The sequence below is a fragment of the Homo sapiens genome, chromosome 15 (assembly GCF_000001405.40).
Source record: "Homo sapiens chromosome 15, GRCh38.p14 Primary Assembly".
Lineage (NCBI taxonomy): Eukaryota > Metazoa > Chordata > Mammalia > Primates > Hominidae > Homo > Homo sapiens.
The window spans coordinates 44500758-44522262 of NC_000015.10; the positions used below are offsets into that span (position 1 = coordinate 44500758).

Sequence of the window (21505 nt, forward strand, 5' to 3'; positions counted from 1 at the left end):
ATAGAAGTTTGTGGTTCATGGCTACTTTAACCTACTTTGTCTAGTAATGAGTTGTAAGAGGATTTATTTTAGTTGTCAGTTCTAGTTTTAACCTAGGGTAGGTATTGTAGCTATGGCAATAAATATTTGAATACTGAATTCACTTTTTATGTAAGCTGATTTTAGTCCTGATGTATAATCGGGGGTAAGCAAAATGTACATAAAATTAAAAGATTTAAAGATTTTTCTGTTCCCTTTCAAAACTGATGATTATTTGGTTTAAGGCAAGTATTTTTCTTAAGACCTTTTTTATCAAATTTGTTGTTCTTGTTTAGTGGACTTTAAGGACAGGAGTCCTTGTGGCAGATGTAAATAGTATAGTGATATCTTAGTTTTCTCTTTTAAGCTCGATAACCTTGTTGGGGTTTTTCTTTGTTTTTTGCTTTTGGGTGTTTTTCGTGATTGCATTTGAAAAAAATGGCTTTAAGGCTTTGAATTTGGAAAGGAAAGCTATTAATTGAAAAATATAGATAAACAATGATTTTGAGATGACTTCTTAAGCTTCTAGGTTTGAAATTGAAATTTATTTCTTACAGATGGTTTTTGTTCTGTTTATGTAATTCTTAGTAGTGAATAAGAAACTTAAGTAGGTAAATTTGATTCTTCCCTTTCATGAGCGTTTCTCTTCAGTATGATCATAAAATTGAATTTTTTTCTTACTGCTTCTACCATTTCTGCTTTAACTCTCTTTTTAAAGTTCTTATTATTTCATGTGGATCTGGATAGTTGTCTTATTTTGAATAAAAAGCTTCTAGCAGCATATATGACTAATTAAAATACTGTATGTATGTACTGCATCTACCTCTGTGGAATTCAGACAACTCTTTTTCTTATGTATTCTGAGTTACACTTTCTGAAACTGAAAAATAAATGATCTAGCCTAAATGAGAGCACAGAGCAGGTAGTTTGAACCTTATAAGCTATAGAGATGATTGCACTTTAATACGATTTAGTTACCATATCACAGACAGAGTTTAGTTACTTTTTAGTAAATTTTTGAGGATATCCGTAGTTAATATTGGGTACATTCCCTTGGATTTCTTATTTTGGCATAGCCATTCTGTCTTTTAAAAAATAAATGAAGAAATCTTTGGGTTAGGGTTCCCCCAGTTTTCAGACCAGCAAGCTCCCTTTAAACAGGGAATGATGTCTTTTAAACTTTCAGTGGTGTTGTCTCCATCTACTGGCAAAGAAGAAATATACACAAGGGTCTGAGATGATCTAAGAGATATTGGAGAAACCACATTATTAGGTAAGATGTAACTTAAATCTTTAACCACTGTACTATGATGTGGCCCACTTAAAGGTAGAAATCTGTAAAGTACTGCATATACTCTTATTTTTTAAAAAATTTATTGAGGTGAAATTTACATGACAAAATTAACCATTTTTAAATGAACAGTTCCATAGCGTGTATCTGTATTATTCTTGAATGTTAGTTTTATAGCATTTACATATATATGTATATATATTTTATATGTAAAGATCAAATTTTTCATCTGAAAGCCAGATGGAGTGTCCTCTTGGGACTTATTTTACGTTTTTTTTCTTTCTGTGGTATATTTGTTATGGTTGACCTATAACTAATTTTAACTCTACATGTTATTTCTGTTTCATTTCAAAATAATTTAATTGTATTATATATGTTTTAATAATTGTCTATATCAGGGGTTGGCAACCTTTTTCTATAAAGGGCCAGTTGTAAATATTTTAGGTTTTGTGGTCCCTGTCATGACTGCTTTTTGTGCTATTGCAGCATGAAAGTAGCCATGGACAATACATAAATGAAAAAGCATGACTGTGTCCCAGTACAACGTTATATACAAAAATCAGTGGCAGGCTGCATTTGGCCACCATAGTTTGCTGATTCCTGGTCTAATAATTATGAGAGTATATACAGTAAATTTACATATTCAAATTGTAAGTAGAAGTAAGTAATCAAATGTTCATCAAAATTCTTGTAAATGTATGTAGAAAATTTAAATTAGATCCACAGTAATCTGGTTGTGGGCCTTTAAAGTTTTTTTAAAATCAAAGTTTGAGGGAACTTTGAGGTGGCCACTACTCACATTTAAAGATTGCCTGACTTAATGATACGTACTCTTCTTTTGGTTGATATGTAGGAATAAACTTGGTTAATGCAAGTCTTAGAATTTGTAAGCAGGTAGATTATTGTAAATTAGTACCTTGAGGTGTAATTTGAATTTCATTTCTCTAGGGGATTAAAAAAAAACCTGAAAGATCTATCTCAAATTAAAATTTGATGTATGTTACTACTGACACTATGTGGACTAGACAGAGTATAGTTTGTATATGGATAAAAAGTCATTTGAAAGAACCGACTTGTTAAACGTGAGGAAATGGCACTCATATAGGCAAAATTACAGGCTTTTTGTTTGAATGGGTCTATTTTTCTTAAATTGGTTTTTTTTTTACATTGTTTTATAATCAGTTATTAAGAAAACATGTATTCATAAAATGGTACAAATGCATTTGATATCTGGAAAAACAAGTGCATGATCACTTTTATTGCACATGTTTAATCTTTATATTTAGCCTATATTGGCACTTTGTCAGGAAATCCATCTCGTGGTGTTACTCAGTTAAGAGGTCTCCACTGTATTTAGTTTCTGTTCCTGCAGATCCACCAATTCAAGACTCTAGGTCATCTCACTCCCTCTTCCATCCCGAAGATGACTTCTATCCACAAGCAGGAGTGAATCAAAAGACATTTTTCACTTAGCTCTTGAGCTGAACCACCTCCTCAATGACCTTCCTCTGTCTCCATCAAGAACTGGAGCTCAGTTTTTTGAAGATGTAATAGAACTACTCAGCCCAAATGTGGCTGATTGAAGACAAAAAGAAGATACCTCATATGTTTCACCACAGTGCAGCCAAACGTAACTGTGTTGTCCAACTCCTCATTCTGTAAAGCTTGGCAGGGGCATCTGATTTTTGACTCTGTTCACCAATAAGACTTTAGCCAGTCAGTGGCTTTCTGAAGATCAGTAAAATCAACAAACTTTGGGTCAGCTGTCCAGAAATCAGATTGTGGTAAGCACTCAAGGACAGATAGGATCCCTGTAGGGAGCTACTTGTAAAAGATGCTTTGTTTTATTAGTAGAGGTTGCTTTTATGGGAAAAGTTGGGGGAAGAGGTGGATGGGGAAGGCCACGGTTAGCAAAGCTTACCCGCGTCCCCATTCTTTCAGTTTTCTTGGGAATCTTACAGCTTAGGATAATTTTCATATCACAGAACAAGAGAAGTAGAACCAGGTGCAGTGGCTCACGCCTGTAATCCCAGCACTTTGGGAGGCGGAGATGGGCAGATCACCTGAGGCCAGGAGTTCAGGACCACCCTGGCCAACATGGCAAAACCCTATCTCCACAAAAAAATAAAAAAAATTAGCCGGGCGTGGTGGCAGGTGCCTGTAATCCCAGCTACTCAGGAGGCTGAGGCAGGAAAATCACTTGAACCCAGGAGGCGGAGGTTGCAGTGAGCCAAGATTGCGCCACTGCACTCCAGCCTGGGCGACAAAGCGAGTCTCCATCTCAAAAAAGAAAAGAAAGAACAAGAGAAGTAGAGGGTCAGTTGCTTCTGTCTCCTCTTTACAGTCTTTTCTAGAAAAGTCAGCTTTATTTTTGCTTCATGAAGGAAAGAAACCAATCATTTAAATTTATAATTTTGTAGTAAATACCTAATTTTTTTCTCAAGTTCTGGCTTAAATTGATACTAACCAACATGCACATTGTTCTTGAGATTCATCTACAAAAGTAGCCTAAAAAAAACTTTTGAGGCCGGGGCAGTGGCTTGCTTGTAATCCCTGCACTGGGAGGCTGAGGTGAGAGGAATGCTTGAGCCTGGGAGTTTGAGACCGGCCTGGGCAAGATAGTGTGAGATCCTGTCCCTTCCAAAAAAAAAAAATTAGCCGGGCATGGTGGGGAGCACCTATAGTCCCAGCTACTCGATAGGCTGAGGCAGGAGGATTGCTTGAGCCAGGAGGCTGAGAAATCAGACAACCATTTCAGGGTCATAGTTGCATAGTATAGAGGATAAAACTAATATTTTAGCTTGTAGGGAACAATAATTCAATAATTAATTGTAGATGAATATTAAAAATACTACTTTAGAATAATTTTAAAGTCACTTTCCCATCCTTATTAGTATGTTTAGTTATTGGTACTAATTTTTTCATCATAATTATTCATTATTAATTGGCTAAAAAAAGGAAAAGATACAAATGAAACCAATAGTTCTCTATTTCTCAAAAATATGGAAAAATATATTTTATGGGGATTCTTTGTCTAAAATGTATCTTTCAAAATTAGGAGCAATTCATTAAAATAAAATAGAGGCCAGGTGTGGTGGCTCATGCCTGTAATGATAGCACTTTGGGAGCCCTAGGTGGGTGGATGGCTTGAGCTCAGGAGTTCAAGACCAGCCTGGGCAATGTAGTGAGACCTTGTCTCCACAAAAAATGCAAAAATAGGTGGCACACACCTCTAGTCCCAGCTACTTGGGAAGCTGAGGTGGGAAGATCACCGGAACCCCGAGAGCTTCAGGCCCTAGTGAGCTGTGATCACGCCACTGCACTCCACCCTGGGTGACAGAGAGCCAGTCTCAAAAAGAAAAAAAAGAAGGAGAAAAAACATACGGGCCAGCCATGGTGGCTCACACCTCTAATCCCAGCACTTTGGGAGGCTGAGGCAGGTGGATCACCTGAGGTCAGAGAGTTCGAGACCAGCCTAAACAACATGGTGAAACCCTGTCTCTACTAAAAAAAAGAAATTAGCTGGGCGTGGTGGCAGGTGCCTGTAATCTCAGCTACTCGGGAGGCTGAGACGGGAGAATTGCTTGAACCCGGGAGGGAGAGGTTGCAGTGAGCCGAAATCGCACCATTGCACTCTAGGCTGGGCAACAGAGCGAGACTCTGTCTCCCAAAAAAAAAAAAAAAGAAAAGAAAAGAAAACATACTATGTGGAAAGTTCTTATTTAATGGCTATAAATTTAGAAGGTGTGACAGTTGATTACATTAAATTGGAGGCTTCATTTCCTTTGAAGTTTAGAGTTTGAGTTTAAAGGTAACATTTTTGTTTTACTAAAATGGCCATTGTTTTGACTAAACTTTTATTAATGTAAATACATCAAGTTTTTTAACATATGCAAATATATGTACATACAATATAATGGCCAATTTTTCCCTGATGAAAATTATGCTTCATTGGTAACTTTTTTTTTTTTTTTTTTTTTTGAGACAGAGTCTCAATCTGTTGCCCAGGCTGGAGTGCAATGGCGCTATCTTGGCTCACCACAATCTCTGCCTCCCAGGTTCAAGAAATTCTCCTGCCTCAGCCTCCCGAATAACTAGGATTATAGGCACGTGCTACTGAGGCCGGCTAATTTTTGTATTTTTAGTAGAGATGGGGTTTTACCCTGTTGGCCAGGCTGGTCTTGAACTCCTCACCTCAAGTGATCTGCCCACCTCGGCCTCCCAAAATGCTGGGATTACCGGCATGAGGCATGAGCCACCATGCCCAGCCCCATTGGTAACTTTTAATATAAATCATATAAATCACCTATATGAATACATTAAGCTTCATTTTATCCTACTTTGACTTTTTTTTTTTTTTTTTTTTTGGAGGCATGGTGTCGCTGTGTCACCCAGACTGGAGTGCATTGACACAATCTCTGCTCACTATAGCCTCTATCTTCCAGGCTCAAACCGTCTTCTCACCTCAGCCTCCCAAACAGTAGCTGGGACTACAGGAATGTGCCACCATGCCCTTTTTTGTATGTTTTGTAGAGACGGGGTTTCTCTGTGTTGCCCAGGCTGGTCTCAAACTCCTGGGCTCAAGCAATCCACCCAGTTCAGACTCCCAAAGTGCTGAGATTACAGATGTGAGCCACCGTGCCCTGCCTGTACTCTTTAAAAAATTTCTTTTCAGGTTGATTTCTGTTTGAGTAAGGTTTTGCAGGAACTTTTTTTTTGAGACAGAGTCTCGCTCTGTCGCCCAGGCTGGAATGCAGTGGCACAATCTTGGCTCACTGCCAGCTCCGCCTCCCAGGTTCACGCCATTCTCCTGCCTCAGCCTCCCGAGTAGCTGGGACTACAGGCGCCTGCCACTACACCCGGCTAATTTTTTTGTATTTTTAGTAGAGACAGGGTTTCACCGTGTAAGCCAGGACGGTCTCAATCTCCTGACCTCGTGATCCGCCCACCTCGGCCTCCCAAAGTGCTGAGATTACAGGCGTGAGCCACCGCGCCTGGCTTTTTTTGTTTGTTTTTTGTTTTTTTTTTTAAATAAGACTGAGTCTCGCTACTCTGTCGCCCAGGCTAGAGTATGGTGGCACCATCTCAGCTCACTGCAACCTCCACCTCCTGGGTTCAAGCGATTCTCCTGCCTCAGCCTTCTGAGTAGCTGGGATTACAGGCATGGGCCACCATGCCGAGCTAATTTTTGTATTTTTAGTAGAGATGGGGTTTCACCATGTTGGCCAGGCTGGTCATGAACTCCTGTCCTCAACTATCTGCCCACCTCGGCCTCCCAAAGTGCTGGGATTGTAGGCGTGAGCCACTGCACCCAGCCGCAGGAGCTTTTAATTTAGGGATTTTTTGTTGTTTTGTTTTTATTTTTATTGGTTTTAGTGTTTACCTATTCATCCCAAATTTATCCACCTACAAATACTACCCCCAGCATCTGTCTACCTCTTATTGGAATTTTCATGAAGCAAAAGATTACTACTGTAACATCACTCAGTGGGTTATGAAATTGAGACCACTCTAGGGCCTACCTGAATAACCCTCTTTCTTTGGAGAAGGTTTGGGTTTTATCTTTAAGTTCTGGTATTGATGCTAAGAACATGTGAACTAAATTAAACAGTTTACTGAAACAGTTTGTTATCTCCCTCTTCCAAAAGTATAGATTTTGGCTGTAGGGCTTTCTCTTTGGAATTGAGGTTGCCCAGTTCTGCCCAATAGAATCATACTCACTCCAGCTCTTCTTGTGACTGATTACTTTTAAACAATGAGATAGATAATAATAGCTAATAGCTATTGGCACTTTGAATGTACCAGACACTGTTCTAGGTACTTTACGTGTATTAACTTATTTAATCTTCACAACCACCTTATGATGTAGATATTGTTGTTATATCCTGTATTTTATAGATAGGGAAACTGAGGTATACAGAAGAGTTAAAAAATTGGTACAGCCACTTGTACACTTGTGGTATCTACTGATGGTAAGATAAGATTTTTTCAGTTAATTGTAGCATCTCATTCTTTTTTTTTCTTTTTTTTTTTGGAGACAGGGTTTCATTCTGCCACCCAGGCTAGAGTACAGTGACATGATCACATCTCACTGCAGCCTCAACCTCCTGGGTTCAAGCAATTCTCCTGCCTCAGCCCCCTGAGTAGCCGGGACTACGGGCGAGTGCCACCACGCCTGGCTAATTTTTGTATTTTTTTGTAGAGACAGGGTTTCGCCATGTTGCCCAGGCTAGTCTCAAAACTCCTGGGCTCCAGTGATCCTTTCACCTCGGCCTCCCAAAATGCCCTAGCATTTTAGGATTATAGACATTGAGCCACCACACCTGGCTGCATCTCATTCTTTATGTTCCCCAACTTTGTTTATTTTCTACTGTTTTAATTCTTCTTGCTTAATTAAATAAGAAATAGCACCTACCAGTCATCTTTTTGATTAAAAGAAAACAGATGTCATACTCTAAAGTGGATGATTCCTTGGATTCATCATTTTTTAAAACCTATTGCCACAATGTAGCAATAGGTTGGAAGGATGTCATGGAAAAAGTTTCAAAGATGTTTCTTTTTGAAAGTTATGGTCTGCCGGGCGCTGTGGCTAGCCCCTGTAATCCCAGCACTTTGGGAGGCTGAGGCGGGTGGATCACGAGGTCAGGAGTTCAAGACCAGCCTGGCCGAGATGGTGAAACCCTGTGTCTACTAAAAATACAAAAAACTTAGGCATGGTGGCGGAGCCCTGTCAGCTGAGCTATTCGGGAGGCTGAGGCAGAGAATTGCTTGAACCCGGGAGGTGGAGGTTGTAGTGAGCTGAAATCGCACCACTGCACTCCAGCCTGGGTGACAGAGTGAGACTCCATCTCAAAAAATAAAAAAAGAAAGTTATGGTCATATTATCTGGGCCTAAAAATCATTTAGAAATGTTTTTCCTAAAAAGACTCACATGTAATTTTTGGGGGGGTCATACTGTTAAAATTATCTATGATATTAGATTAAGGTTTGATAAACTAGTAGAAATTACTAAGTATATAACTTGAAATTATATAATTCGATGTGAGTTTTAATTTAGACTTTACCACATAATATGTAGAATCAGTTTATAAGTGGATTATCATTTTAATGACTGCCTTTTTTATTTTTATTTTTTTTATTTTTTAATTTTTTTGAGACACAGTCTTGCTTGATCACCCAGGCTGGAGTGCAGTGGTGTGATCTCAGCTCAGTGCAACCTCCACCTTCGCTGTTCCAGTGATTCTCCTGCTTCAGCCTTTCAAGTAGCTGGGACTACAGGCGTGCACCACCACCATGCCCAGCTAATTTTTTGCATTTTTAGTAGAGACGGGGTTTCCACCATGTTGGCCAGGCTGGTCTTGAACTCCTGACTTCAGGTGATCCGCCCGCCTTGGCCTCTCAAAGTGCTGGGATTACAGGCGTGACCTACCACGCCCAGCCAATGACTACTTTTTTAAAAATCCAGCTATGTTAACTATTAATAGCCTTTCAGTACTATCTATATACAATTTTTATCTTAACACACAAAAAAATAGACCATCAAGTATTATTCATATCAAGTAGTAGTAGTGTAGTGGGTTTTTTGAAATTATATATATGGCTGGGTGCGGTGGCTCATGCCTATAATCCCAGGACTTTGGGAGGCCAAGGCAGGCAGATCACTTGCCTTGCTGACATGTCAAAACCCCGTCTCTACTAAAAATACAAAAATTAGCCGGTTGTGGTGGCATGCGCCTATAGCCCCAGCTACTTGGGAGGCTGAGGCAGGAGAATCGCTTAAACCTGGGAGACGGAGGTTGCAGTGAGCTGAGACCACACCATTGCACTCCAGCCTGGGCAACAGGGCGAGACTCCATTTAAAAATATATATATATATATTCATTTTCTGTGTAAAATTTAAATTTTGGTAAAATCAGTTCACAACACCTTTTTTTTTTTGAGACGGAGTCTCACTCTGTTGCCCAGACTGGAGTGCAGTAGCGCATCTTGGCTCACTGCAACCTCTGTCTCCTGGGTTCAAGCAATTCTCCGGTCTCAGCCTCCCCAGTAGCTGGGACTACAGGTGCATGCCACCACGTCCAGCTAATTTTTGTATATTTAGTAGTATATTTAGTAGAGACAGGGTTTCAACATGTTAGTCTGGCTGGTCTCAAACTCCTGACCTCAGGCGATCCACTCGTCTTGGCCTCCCAAAGTGCTGGGATTACAGGCGTGAGCCACCATGCCTGGCACCACAACACTCTTTTACAGATATTCTGATAGATTTTCATTTTAAAAGTTTTGCATAATGAACATGTTCATAAATCTGTATCTTCAAGTAGTAGTCAATCTTGAATAGTTTTTTAAATATAATTATTTCTTATTATGGCTTTAGGCATTATTTTTAAACTTTTGACATTTTCCACAATATATTTGGTTTACTGAGAAAATATTAAAATTATTTGTACTATAAATAAAATATTATCGATTTGAAGAAACATGTATACTAGACTGAAATGAAGCTTTTGGCCTTTGGGAGATTACATAATTTTGAAGAGCTGCAAGTTTCAAGAAGGTAAAATACTAAGTAGAGAAAGGAGTGGATTAAGGAAATGTAGAAAATGGGAAGTAGGCAGCTCAGGAAAGGAATCTTTGTATGAGAGTAAAATTAGAAGAAAAATGGAGCTAATGCTATTTGTAGAATAGATTTTGAAGCATTTGGAGGCATGTCTATGTGTGCATCTGTCTGTTTTTGTATCTCTGACCTAACACAATAAAGTAATGGTAGTCTCAAGAGTTAAACTCATTGTATTATATGTACCTGACAGATGTTCTTTATTTGTTCTTACCAGACAGTACGTAGTGCTTCTTGACTTATATATTTCTGTTCACGCTTACCTATATCCAAATAACTTAGACGCTGCTGGCCTTATGTCTCATCTCTACTTCTGTTTCTGAGATTTTCCTTTGCATCACATGGCACAACCCCATGTGGCCCTAACCCCAGCCCAGTACCTTTCTACGTTTCTTCCCACTTTCCTCCCTCATTCTCTGCCTGTGTCTTTTAATACTGAAACACCTTCTTGTTCACATGGTGAATCTGTTCTGAGGATAGGAACTATTATTTTCAACAGTTACTCTTTCCATTCTCATAGTAAAGAAACACTCTAGCAATATATTCCTTTATCTTCAGTGCCACCTCTTATCCCCAGTAAACAAACACATTTTGAAAGCAATGTCAAATTTTAAGATGCATGTTATATTTAAGTATAGTTAAAGTAGTAGTATGCACAATGAAGTTATAGCTTTGACCTAATCTGGAAGTCACTGTATGAGAAGTTGGAAAATGTCACCTTTGAACAATGTTCCACTTACTATGGCTGGAAAATATTGTTAACTAGACATATTCTTGTGCAGTGGAATTGTGTCGTGTTCAGAGGCAATAAATCTCAAAGAGGCCCTGCTTATCTTAGTTTACTGCAGGTTGAATATCCCTAATTCAAAAAATGCGAAATCTGAAATGCCTCAAAATCTGTAATTTATCACCAGGTGTGGTGGCTGATGCCTGTAATACCTCCCCTGGGAGGCCGAGGCGGGGAGATCACCTGAGTTCGAGAGTTTGAGACCAGCCTGGTCAACACGGTGAAAACCGTCTCTATTAAAAATACAAAAATGAGCCGGATGTGGTGGCACACGCCTATAACCCCAGCTACTGGGGAGGCTGAGGCATGAGAATTGCTTGAACCTGGGAGGCAGAGGTTGCAGTAAGCCAAGATCATGTTACTGCACTCCAGCCTGGGCAGCAGAATGAGACGGTCTCGCAAAAAAAAAAAAAAAAAAAAAAAAAGAAAATCTGAAACTTAGTCGGGTGTGATGGGTCATGCCTATAATCCCAGCACTTTGGGAGGCCAAGGCAATATTGCTTGAGCGTAAGAGTTTGAGACCAGCTTGGGCAACATAGTGAGATAGTGAGAGCCCATCTCTACCAAAAAAAAATTGTTTAAAGCCAGGCATGGTGTTATGCACTTGTCATCCCAGCTATGTGGAAGGCTAAGACAGGAGGATCACTTCAGCCCGGGAGGTCGAGGCTGCAGTGGCCATGTTTGCACCACTGCACTCCAACCTAGACAACAGAGTGAAACCTTGTCTTAAAAAAAAAAACAAAAACAGCCTGAAACTTTTTGAGCACTGACATGACGTTCAAAGGAAATGCTCATTGGATCATTTTGCATTTTCAGATAAGGGACACTCAACCTGTATATGGAGCAAGTGATAATAGGGATATTGAAAATAAAACATTTATATACATGAAAAAATGAAATATTTTTGGTTACTAACTGCATGTGAGTGATGAACACTGGCAACAAGTAAAAGGTTCTGATAGTTTATAGTTTATCATCTACCTTGAGATGGAATTCAGAAAAAGTATTGGCAGAATAGATGGGTTGTTCTTAACCATCACAAATCTGTTTTGAAAAGACTCAGTTGATTAAAATGATTTTGTTAGTAAAATAATATACATAAAAATCTGTTGTTGTTTGGCTTACCAAAGAAGGTGTGTGTGGTTTTCAATCAAGGCTACAAACTACACCAAATGTTTCAGGATGAAAATGTTAAAATTGATTAGAAGAACAACTATCGTTAAATTTTTTAGACCTCATCCTAAACGATGGTGATTGGATGCTGAGGATTTGGTTCTTTTTTTCTGCTTTGAGGAGGGGTATGTGGTTTACTTTGTTTTTGATCATCAAGACTGATAGGATTAGGCCGGGCGGAGTGGCTCACGCCTGTAATCCCAGCACTTTGGGAGGCAGGCAGATCACTTGAGGTTAGGAGGACAATGTGGTGAAACCCCATCTCTACTAAAAATACAAAAATTAGCCAGCCATGGTGGCCCATGCCTGTAATCCCAGCTGCTCCGGAGGCTGGGGTAGGAGAATTGCTTGAACCCTGGAGGTGGAGGTTGCAGTGAGCCAAGATGACGCCACTGCATTCCAGCCTGGGGGAAAGAGCAAGACTCCTTCTCAAAAAAAAAAAAAAACTAATAGGATTAAAAACAAGTAAACCTTTATCTAGCCCAGAGATGGGGACAGAGTGATATTATTAGCACAGTAATGATCATTCAAAATTTGTCTTCTGGCCTGGCTTGGTGGCTCACGCCTGTAATCTCAGCACTTTGGGAGGCCAAGACGGGCGGATCACCTGAGGTCAGGAGTTTGAGACCAGCCTGCCCAACATGGCGAAACCCCGTCTCTACTAAAAGTACAAAAAGTTAGCCGGTCGTGGTGATGAGCACCTGTAATCCCAGCTACTCCGGAGGCTGAGGCAGGAGAATCACTTGAACCCAGGAGGCGGAGGTTGCAGTGAGCCAAGATCATGCCATTGCACTCCAGCCTGGGCCGTAAGAGTGAAACTCCATCTCAAACAAACAGAATTTGTCTCCTATAAGTGGTCAGTTCTTAAGGAAATTCTCTATTTTGCCCTAAAACATTCCTAGAACTAGATTTTTGTCATGGGGGCATTTTTGTGTGCATGTATATGGATGCCAGAATTGAAACTCCACTAAGCCTGGGTTTGAATTTGTTGCTACCACAAGGTGTTTGGTTTGTTTTTAATCTGAATCCGTGAATCTAGTTCAATAAATACTTGTTATTCGTGGTATTTGAAATTATAATAGTAGTCACCTTTGAATGAAGTATAGTATTTTTCTTTCTGTAAAATTTTGTAACAAAATGAATACAATTTAGAGGAGTCAGAATGTAAATAGTTTTAATGGTTGCTCATGGCTTTTTGAATATTAGATTATAGGAGCTATATTAAATGTAGGCAAAGAGAGACACAGAAATAAGAAAATAATGTATGTAAAGCAGTTCTGTGGGTACTGTAGTCTTTTCTGATACTGACCAGTAGGTTTTGAGAACTGTTGTGTTTGACTGTTATAATTTTAATCTCAAGTAGCCAATAGTGCTAATTTAGATGCCACATCTGAGTCATTAAATGTAGAATAGGAAGATTGATTTCTGAAAAACTGAGGTTATTTAAACCCATCAATCCAGACGTCTCCTTTTGAATATAATTTACCTTGATATAAATTTAAAATAGAGATATTTTTAGCAGGTGGTTGTTTGAAGGAATTCTGAGTAATTATTGAGGAAGGTCATTGAGACAGGTCAGCTAGAGGTGGACACAATAATTGGATGGATGCTACCTGGCTGGAAGATGGAGCTTACTGGTGGATCAAAATCTCAGAGGGAAACTTTCCATTTTTAGCTTAAATGTTTATTAAAATTACATACCAGTGAAGTACTGTATGCTGCTATTAGTAAAAATGACTTGATCATCAGTGATTATTATTATCCCACCAAAGAGATTGGTTTAAGTGATCGCTTGTATGTGAAATATACTTGGTTTGAGTGGTACTTAGTTAATATTTCTATACTTTAAAACATGAACTTTTTCATTATAATCAAAGTTAGAATACAGCACATCTTAAAAAGAAGTGGTTTCCCATTGTATGTTTATTTGCTGAAACTTATCTTTGTATTTCCTTAGGTTTATGTGAGATTAAGACCATTTTTCAGGGAATTCCTGGAACGAATGTCTCAGATGTATGAGGTAAACATGCTTAAGCTAATTACATATGTATTTTTATTTTATTCAATATAGTACCCATATTTAGACCATGTATAATGATTACTTCTTTTCCCCTGAATTTATAGATCATTCTTTTTACTGCTTCTAAGAAGGTGTATGCAGACAAGTTACTGAACATACTAGACCCTAAAAAGCAACTGGTCAGGTAAATTTAATTAAGAAATAGTGGAAATGTCTGTCACACTGATCTATGAAATTACTGATTCTATTTCATTTTAATGGCCATTTTCAGTTGGCTGCATATGTGTTGAATGGTGAATATAAATGAATTTTTTAAGCCCCTAAACTCTTTAAAAGAGTTCCTAATGATGGAACTCCAGACAGACGTTCTTTAAAGGATACAAAGATCCAGTGCCTTTATTCACTGTGACATCTATATCCTCATTTCTTTTGGGATTGGGGAAGACGGGGGTTGGGGGGGTTGTGTGGAATTTTTCCACGTTGTGCATGATGTTTCATCTCCATATGTCTCTGAGGTAATGCATGTTAATTTACTTTTTAATGGCATAGAGAAATAAAAATTATTTTTTAACAGAAAGGATCAAATTAAGCCCTTGCTTTTTTTGAAAGCAAATTTATCTTCCATGGAAAGAAAATGTTACATGAATCTGATTGGAAATTACAGTGGGTTTAGTCACTCAGGTTATCCTGACTGGACTCAGTTCCTTGTGTGTGCCCTGAGCCAGCAGATGCAGTGTTTTCCTGGTTAGTGGGAGTGCCGTGGTGATTTTAAAATATTATGATAATTAGTTCCATTATTTTGTCAGCTGAAGTGAGATAGTAAGACTGCAGCAGTCTTGCTGTATCCTTTAAGAGGAGGGGTTAATCTTTGAATTTTTGATCAAAAGCTGAGAGAGATGACACAAACGGCTCATAAAAGCTTTAATAGGGCCAGGCGCGGTGGCTCACGCCTGTAATCCCAGCACTTTGGGAGGCTGAGTCTGGCTAATCACCTGAGGTCAGGAGTTCAAGGCCAGCCTCACCAATATGGAGAAACCCCGTGTCTCTACTAAAAATACAAAATTTAGGTGGGCGTGGTGGCGCATGCCTGTAATCCCAGCCACTCGGGAGGCTGAGGCAGGAGAATCGCTTGAACCCGGAAGGCGGAGGTTATGGTGAGCCGAGATCGTGCCGTTGCACTCCAGCCTGGGCAACAAGAGCAAAACTCCATCTCAAAAAAAAAGACTTTAATAGCTGGGTTGGTTGGTTGGTTCGTTCGTTCTTTCTCTCTCTCTTTCTTTCTTTCTTTCTCTCCTCTCTCTTTCTCTATTTCTTTCTTTCTTTTTCTTTTTTTTTTTTTTTGAGGCGGATTCTCACTCTGTTGCCCAGGCTGGAGTGCAGTTTGCAATCTCTGCCTTCTGAGTTTAAAAGATTCTCCTGCCTCAGCCTCTCGAGTAGCTGGGACTACAGGTGTGTGCCACCACACCTGGCTAATTTTTAGTGTTTTTAGTAGAGATGGGGTTTCATCATATTGGCCAGGCTGGTCTTGAACTCCTGACCTCAAGTGATCCACCCACTTTGGCCTCCCAAACTGCTGGCATTACAGGCGTGAGCCACTGCACCCAGCCCAGCTGAGTATAAATTTTCTTAAATACTTTTCCCATGTTGTCTTACTGGAAAATCCTAAAGTGTATTTTCTGCTGTTAACAGTACCTTTATTATTCAGTGGTTGCAAGTATACTGAAAGGCTTTTCCTAATGTTCATATTTTGGAAGGTTTTTTATTCTAAATAAAGCTGTGGTATCTTTTGTTTTTTAATCTAAAGGGTCAAAATAAGTAAGCTGCAGTCACACAAATGGGAAATGGTATTTTCTGTTCACAAAAGTATATTGTAATTTATGCTAATTTTACCTCACTTTACTAAAGTATACCCAGTGATTTTGTTTTGATGACTTCATTCATTATAATGATTTCTGTTCAGCATCTCCAGTATTCCAGGGAACAGTGGTGAGCAACACAAGCTCTTCCCTCTTGGAGCTTTCATTTACTAATGAGGAACAAATGATAGTCATGTTATGACAATGTGTTATAAATTAACAATCCTCTTTTAAACTAGATTTATAAAACCTACACACTTGAGGGTTTCCATTTGTTCTATCTAGATGTATTTTGAGAAATCTGAAACAAAAGCTTGTTTTTTTGTTTGTTTGTTTGTTGTTTGAAACAGTCTTGCTCTGTCACCCAGCCTGGAGTGCAGTGGTGCGATCTTGGCTCACTGTAAACTCGGCCTCCCAGATTCAAGCGATTCTCCTGCCTCAGCCTCCTGATAAGCTGGGATTGCAGGCGCGCATCACCACGCCCAGCTAATTTTTGTATTTTTAATAGAGACGGGGTTTCATCATGTTGGTCAGGCTGGTCTGGAACTCCTGACCTCGTGATCCGCCCACGTTGGCCTCCCAAAGTGCTGGGATTACAGGCGTGAGCCACCGCGCCTGGCCAACAAAAGCGTTTCAAAGAGTAGATTGTGAGTGCTATAGGGAATTGTCTGTGTTGGTGACAAGGTAGACTCTAAGAAATTCCTATGATCTAGGCTGAGTGCCGTGGCTCACGCCTGTAATCCCAGCACTTTGGGAGGCCAAGGCAGGCGGATCACGAGGTCAGGAGTTCAAGACCAGCCTGGCCAACATAATGAAACCTCGTCTCTACTAAAAATACAAAAAAAATTAGCTGGGCATGGTGGCAGGCGCCTGTAATCCCAGCTACTCGGGAGGCAGAGGTTGCAGTGAGCCGAGAGTCTGCCATTGCACTCCAGCCTGGGCGACAGTGGGAGACTCCGTCTCAAAAAAAAAAAAAGAAGAAAAAAAGAAATTCCTGTGATCTCTAAATCTCATGAGTTTCTAACACAAGTCTGTACTCACATGGATGATCTGCTCTTTGATGACTGGTACAAATAGTTTTTTTCTAAAAATGCAAATACATGCTATACACCCTCAGATTCCTGAATGAATAATTGGAAGGCTTTTACTGTAATTTAATTAAAATAACTGTAGTATCCACGTACAGATTCAGTTGTCTCCTGTCTCAATGAGTTTGCCACTATCGGTGAAGAGGCATCAACAGTGACTTGAATTTACATGCTGTATCTGCCTTTCCAGTTTCCTCATATCTAAATGTTTATAGAAATAAAACAGTGAATCTTATTTAGGCCCAACCAAGGCTTGAATTAATTTACTTAGTCTTTTTTGTTGTTGTTTTTTCAAAGTAGAACTGACTAAACTTTCCCGGGGCCAGATGATCGTTTGACTGTGATTATTAAAGTTATTCCTTATAATAAGGGGGAAAGAACTGCTTATACATTTTGTCTGTTCGTTAAATTCTTCCTTTTTGCCATACCAACTGGCACTGATAATTTTAAGGTTGAGTTTTTATTTGTGTGTGTATATGTAGATTTTTATTTATTCTTGGTAGCACTGTGACAGATTTTGTGGGTAGAAAATACCAGTTTCTTGAAATTGCATAATTTAAAATACAGGTCCAAATAGGTCCTAGATTTTGTAAAATTGTTAGTGTGATTAAGACACAAGGAAGACAACTTACCAATTATTAATATATACAGAATAGAGTACTTCAAGGTAGAAAAAAATTATATGAAACAATTATTAGTAATGTTCAGAGACTAGTATTTTGAGTATAAATTGAGATTATAATAATCACTTTAGTATTGTAAAACCTTTAATAGCTTTCTAAAATGATGTAGTATTTTTCTATGTGAGTGAAATATCAGTTTACATTTATAATACTTGATACTTAAATCTGAATTCCTCATTTCACTTAATCTTTTTTCAAATGATCATACACATATACTAAAAGAGGGGTGTTTAGGAAAAGTTGAAATGATGGAATGTTTTGGTCTTAGGACCTTTTCTCAAAAAAAATAAGGAAATCTAAAAAGCATTTTTTCAAATGCCAACACAAAAACATTCCTTCTTATATTTTCTATTCTGGCATGTACAGGGATAGGGAGGCTGTGTGGTCCACTGGTTAGAGCCAAGGACTGGGAGCCAGGAGGATCCTGGGTTCCAATGCGGGGCTAACCACTGACTTACTGTGTGACCTTGGGCAAGTCACTTGACCTCCTTGTTCCTCAGTCAACCATCTGGAAAATTGGTTAAAAAGCAGGACCTCGCTGACAACCAGATGCTGCATCTGAGCTGAGCTTTCTTGGGTAAATAAATTACAAAAACAATTTAGAGTTTTTAATCCCCCTTTATAATTTAATAATAACATTTTGGGATAAACTCAAGTTCTTTAAGGCATAGTAATATTTGGTTGTAAGCTTTCAGTAATTGCTTAGAATTTTTATAGTAAAATGGCAGCCCAACGCTTAGACCCATATTTGTGTTTGAATTTCCTTCAAGAGAGAAAATCATATGGCTTAAACTATAAAGCCTATGGTGTATATATATGTGTATATGTTCTACTTTTTAGAAAGTTTTTTTTTTTTAATTTGTTTTTATTTTTATGTTTAGGCACCGGCTTTTCCGTGAACATTGTGTTTGTGTACAAGGAAACTATATAAAGGACTTAAATATTCTTGGAAGAGATCTTTCAAAAACTATAATAATTGACAACTCACCACAAGCCTTTGCATATCAGGTAGGAAGAAAGTTGATAAACAAACTCAGATTGGAAAAAATACAATGAAGACACATGCTGCCAAACAGAATATGATGGGAGAAGAAGAAGAGAATTTTCACTGGTGGAATTTCCCTTTAATGTGTCATTTTTTTAGAATTAGAAATGACAAAGTGGTATATTCCTTTTGGAAAATTTTTACTTAAATGACATGCAGCATAAATGAAGAAAAACCTGAGTAAGAAAACTATAAGATAAGCATCATTGAATAGCATTCTTATCAGTTATTAAATCAGTAATTAGTAATTTAATCATAAACATATTTGAGTACTATAGTTAGTTTATGTTCTTCTGGTCTGGTTATTTGGTTTAATGTTCTGAAATATTTTCTTAGACTATTTTGTCAATATATTTGTACCCTTTGTTAATATTTCTTTGACGTATAACTACAAATGTAGATGAGTCATCCTTCCTTCCTTTTGTTTTTTTGTTTTTTTTTGTTTTTGTTTTTTGAGAAGCAGTTTCACTCTTGTTGCCCAAACTGGAGTGGAGTGCAATGGCGTGATCTTGGCTCACTGCAACCTCCGCCTCCTGGGTTCAAGCGATTCTCCTGCCTCAACCTCCCGAGTAGCTGGGATTACAGGTGTCTGCCACCACGCCTGGCTAATTTTGTATTTTTAGTAGAGACGGGGTTTCTCCATGTTGGTCAGGCTGGTCTCGAACTCCCGACCTCAGGTGATCGCCTGCCTCAGCCTCCCAAAGTGGTGGGATTACAGGTGTGAGCCACTGCGCCTGCCTGATGAGTCATCCTTTCAAGGTATATTTTAGATTATGAATATGTCCATGTGATATGATTTCTTTTTTCTTTTTTTTGTTTTCCTTTTTTTTTTTTTGAGACGGAGTTTTGCTCGTCGCCCAGGCTGGAGTGCAGTGGCACGATCTCAGCTCACTGCAGCCTCCACCTCCCGGGTTCGTGATTCTCCTGCCTCCACCTCCTTAGTAGCTGGCACTACAGGTGCGCGCCACTATGCCGTGCTAATTTTTTTGTATTATTAGTAGAGACGGGGTTTTGCTGTGTTGGCCAGGCTGGTCTCGAACTTCTGACCTCAGGTGATCCCACCTGTCTCAGCCTCCCAAAGTGCTGGGATTACAGTTGTGAGCTACCACACCCAGCCCCATGTGATAGGATTTCTTAGATTTGCTTCACAATAAGCCAGTCCAGAATAGGGATGATGCAAAGTGGATTGGAGTATAAACTAGATTTGTCCTGTGTTTCAAAATGTCTATAATAAAAAGAAAACAAGTGAAAAGCTGTATATGATACTAAGTTATATTTAGGTCCTTACTTTTATTTGTTTACATTTAAAAATGTCTTTTAAGAATTTCATCTTGGTTCCTAGTTAAAATTATATCAATTATCCTCCATCTCATATACAACATTTAGCCTAAATTTTAAAACATTTTATCCCAGAGATTATTCACCATAAAATAAATATGGCTTGCATTCTTGTTTTTAGGCTCCTCTTCAATGAAATACCATTAATTTGTTAAGTTTCTACTATATTTCAAGTTATCATCCTACTCGATGGGAATAGAATAATGAATGGGAGATATGGTCACTGTATTTAAGGGGAAAAAAAAGTATAGGCTTTTCTATATTCTCTTTAGATTGGCAGTGTCCCATCATTCACAGTGCCTACCTAGCATTGTACTAATTGTAACTATTTCTTGAAGGAATAATGGAATATTTTATTTATATTAATGATCCTTATAAAATGTATTTTAATGGAACTTTCTTGTTTAGTTTTATATACTCTGAGAAGAAATGACACTGAAAAACCAATAGGCTTCAATTTATTTCCTTATCCTCTGTCTCTTGCACTATTGAGTTGTCAAAGAAAAGTCTGGTGACATTACTTTTCAAAGGAACTTTTAGATCAGTGTTTACTTAATAAATCTTTGTTTATTTTTTAACTTTTTCCAAACTAGGTAAAATATAAGTAAAAGAGGATTTAATTACTTATTTATTGTTTTAGCTTTCTAATGGAATCCCTATAGAAAGTTGGTTTATGGATAAAAATGACAATGAACTCCTAAAATTGATTCCATTCCTGGAGAAGCTTGTAGAACTGGTAAGTGTAGCTTATCTTTTTCTGTTGTGTTTTTGTTAGCTCAACTATATTGAAATAAATATTTTTAAATGTCTTTGCTTTGTGTGTACTGACTTATAAAGTCAACTGTGAGCCAGGTCACAGGTGCCATCATAGGCGCCTGTAGTGCCAGCTACTTTAGAGTCTGAGGCAGGAGGATTGATTGAGCCTAGGAATTTGAGGTCATACTAGGCAACATAGTGAGACTCCAGCTCTTTAAAACATAATGATGGGCCGGGCGCGGTGGCTCACGCCTGTAATCCCAGCACTTTGGGAGGCCGAGGCGGGCGGATCACGAGGTCAGGAGATCGAGACCATCCTGGCTAACACGGTGAAACCCCGTCTCTACTAAAAATACAAAAAATTAGCCGGGCGTGGTAGCGGGCGCCTGTAGTCCCAGCTACTCGGGAGGCTGAGGCAGGGGAATGGCGTGAACCCGGGAGGCGGAGCTTGCAGTGAGCCGAGATCGCGCCACTGCACTCCAGCCTGGGCGACAGAGCGAGACTCCGTCTCAAAAAAAAAAAAAAAAAAAAAAAAAACATGATGATGATGATGATGATAAAGTCATCTGTCATGGGAGATGAGGGCAAAGGTTGAAAAAGATTATGTGCATTTTCAAACTTTTTTGAGGCAGGGTCTTGTTCTGTCACCCAGGCTGCAATGTAGTAGCACAATCACTATTCACAGCAGCCTTGACTTCCTGGGCTCAATCTATCCTCCTGCCTCAGCCTCTTGGGTAGCTAGGACTATAGGCATGTGCGACCATGCCTGTCTAATTTTTGTATTTTTTGTAGAGATGGGATTTCACTGTGTTTCCCAGGCTGGTCTTGAACTCATG

General features: G+C 38.9%; 1 protein-coding gene across 14 annotated transcripts in view; it reads left to right on the forward strand.

Annotated features, from left to right (window-relative positions):
- The window catches only part of CTDSPL2 (CTD small phosphatase like 2), a 101410-nt gene that overhangs the window by 73129 nt on the left and 6776 nt on the right, over window positions 1-21505 (forward strand). For 5 of the 14 annotated variants that reach the window (XM_005254441.3, NM_016396.3, XM_011521665.3 and 2 more), the window contains exons 9-12: window positions 13841-13903; window positions 14008-14087; window positions 18412-18538; window positions 20554-20649. In XM_005254441.3, the coding sequence (XP_005254498.1) occupies window positions 13841-13903; window positions 14008-14087; window positions 18412-18538; window positions 20554-20649 (366 nt within the window). Of the gene's footprint in view, window positions 1-1204; window positions 1292-2666; window positions 3094-13840; window positions 13904-14007; window positions 14088-18411; window positions 18539-20553; window positions 20650-21505 lie in introns of those variants that run through there. The other 9 variants (XM_047432652.1, XM_047432655.1, XM_047432653.1 and 6 more) reach the window with 7 other exon arrangements.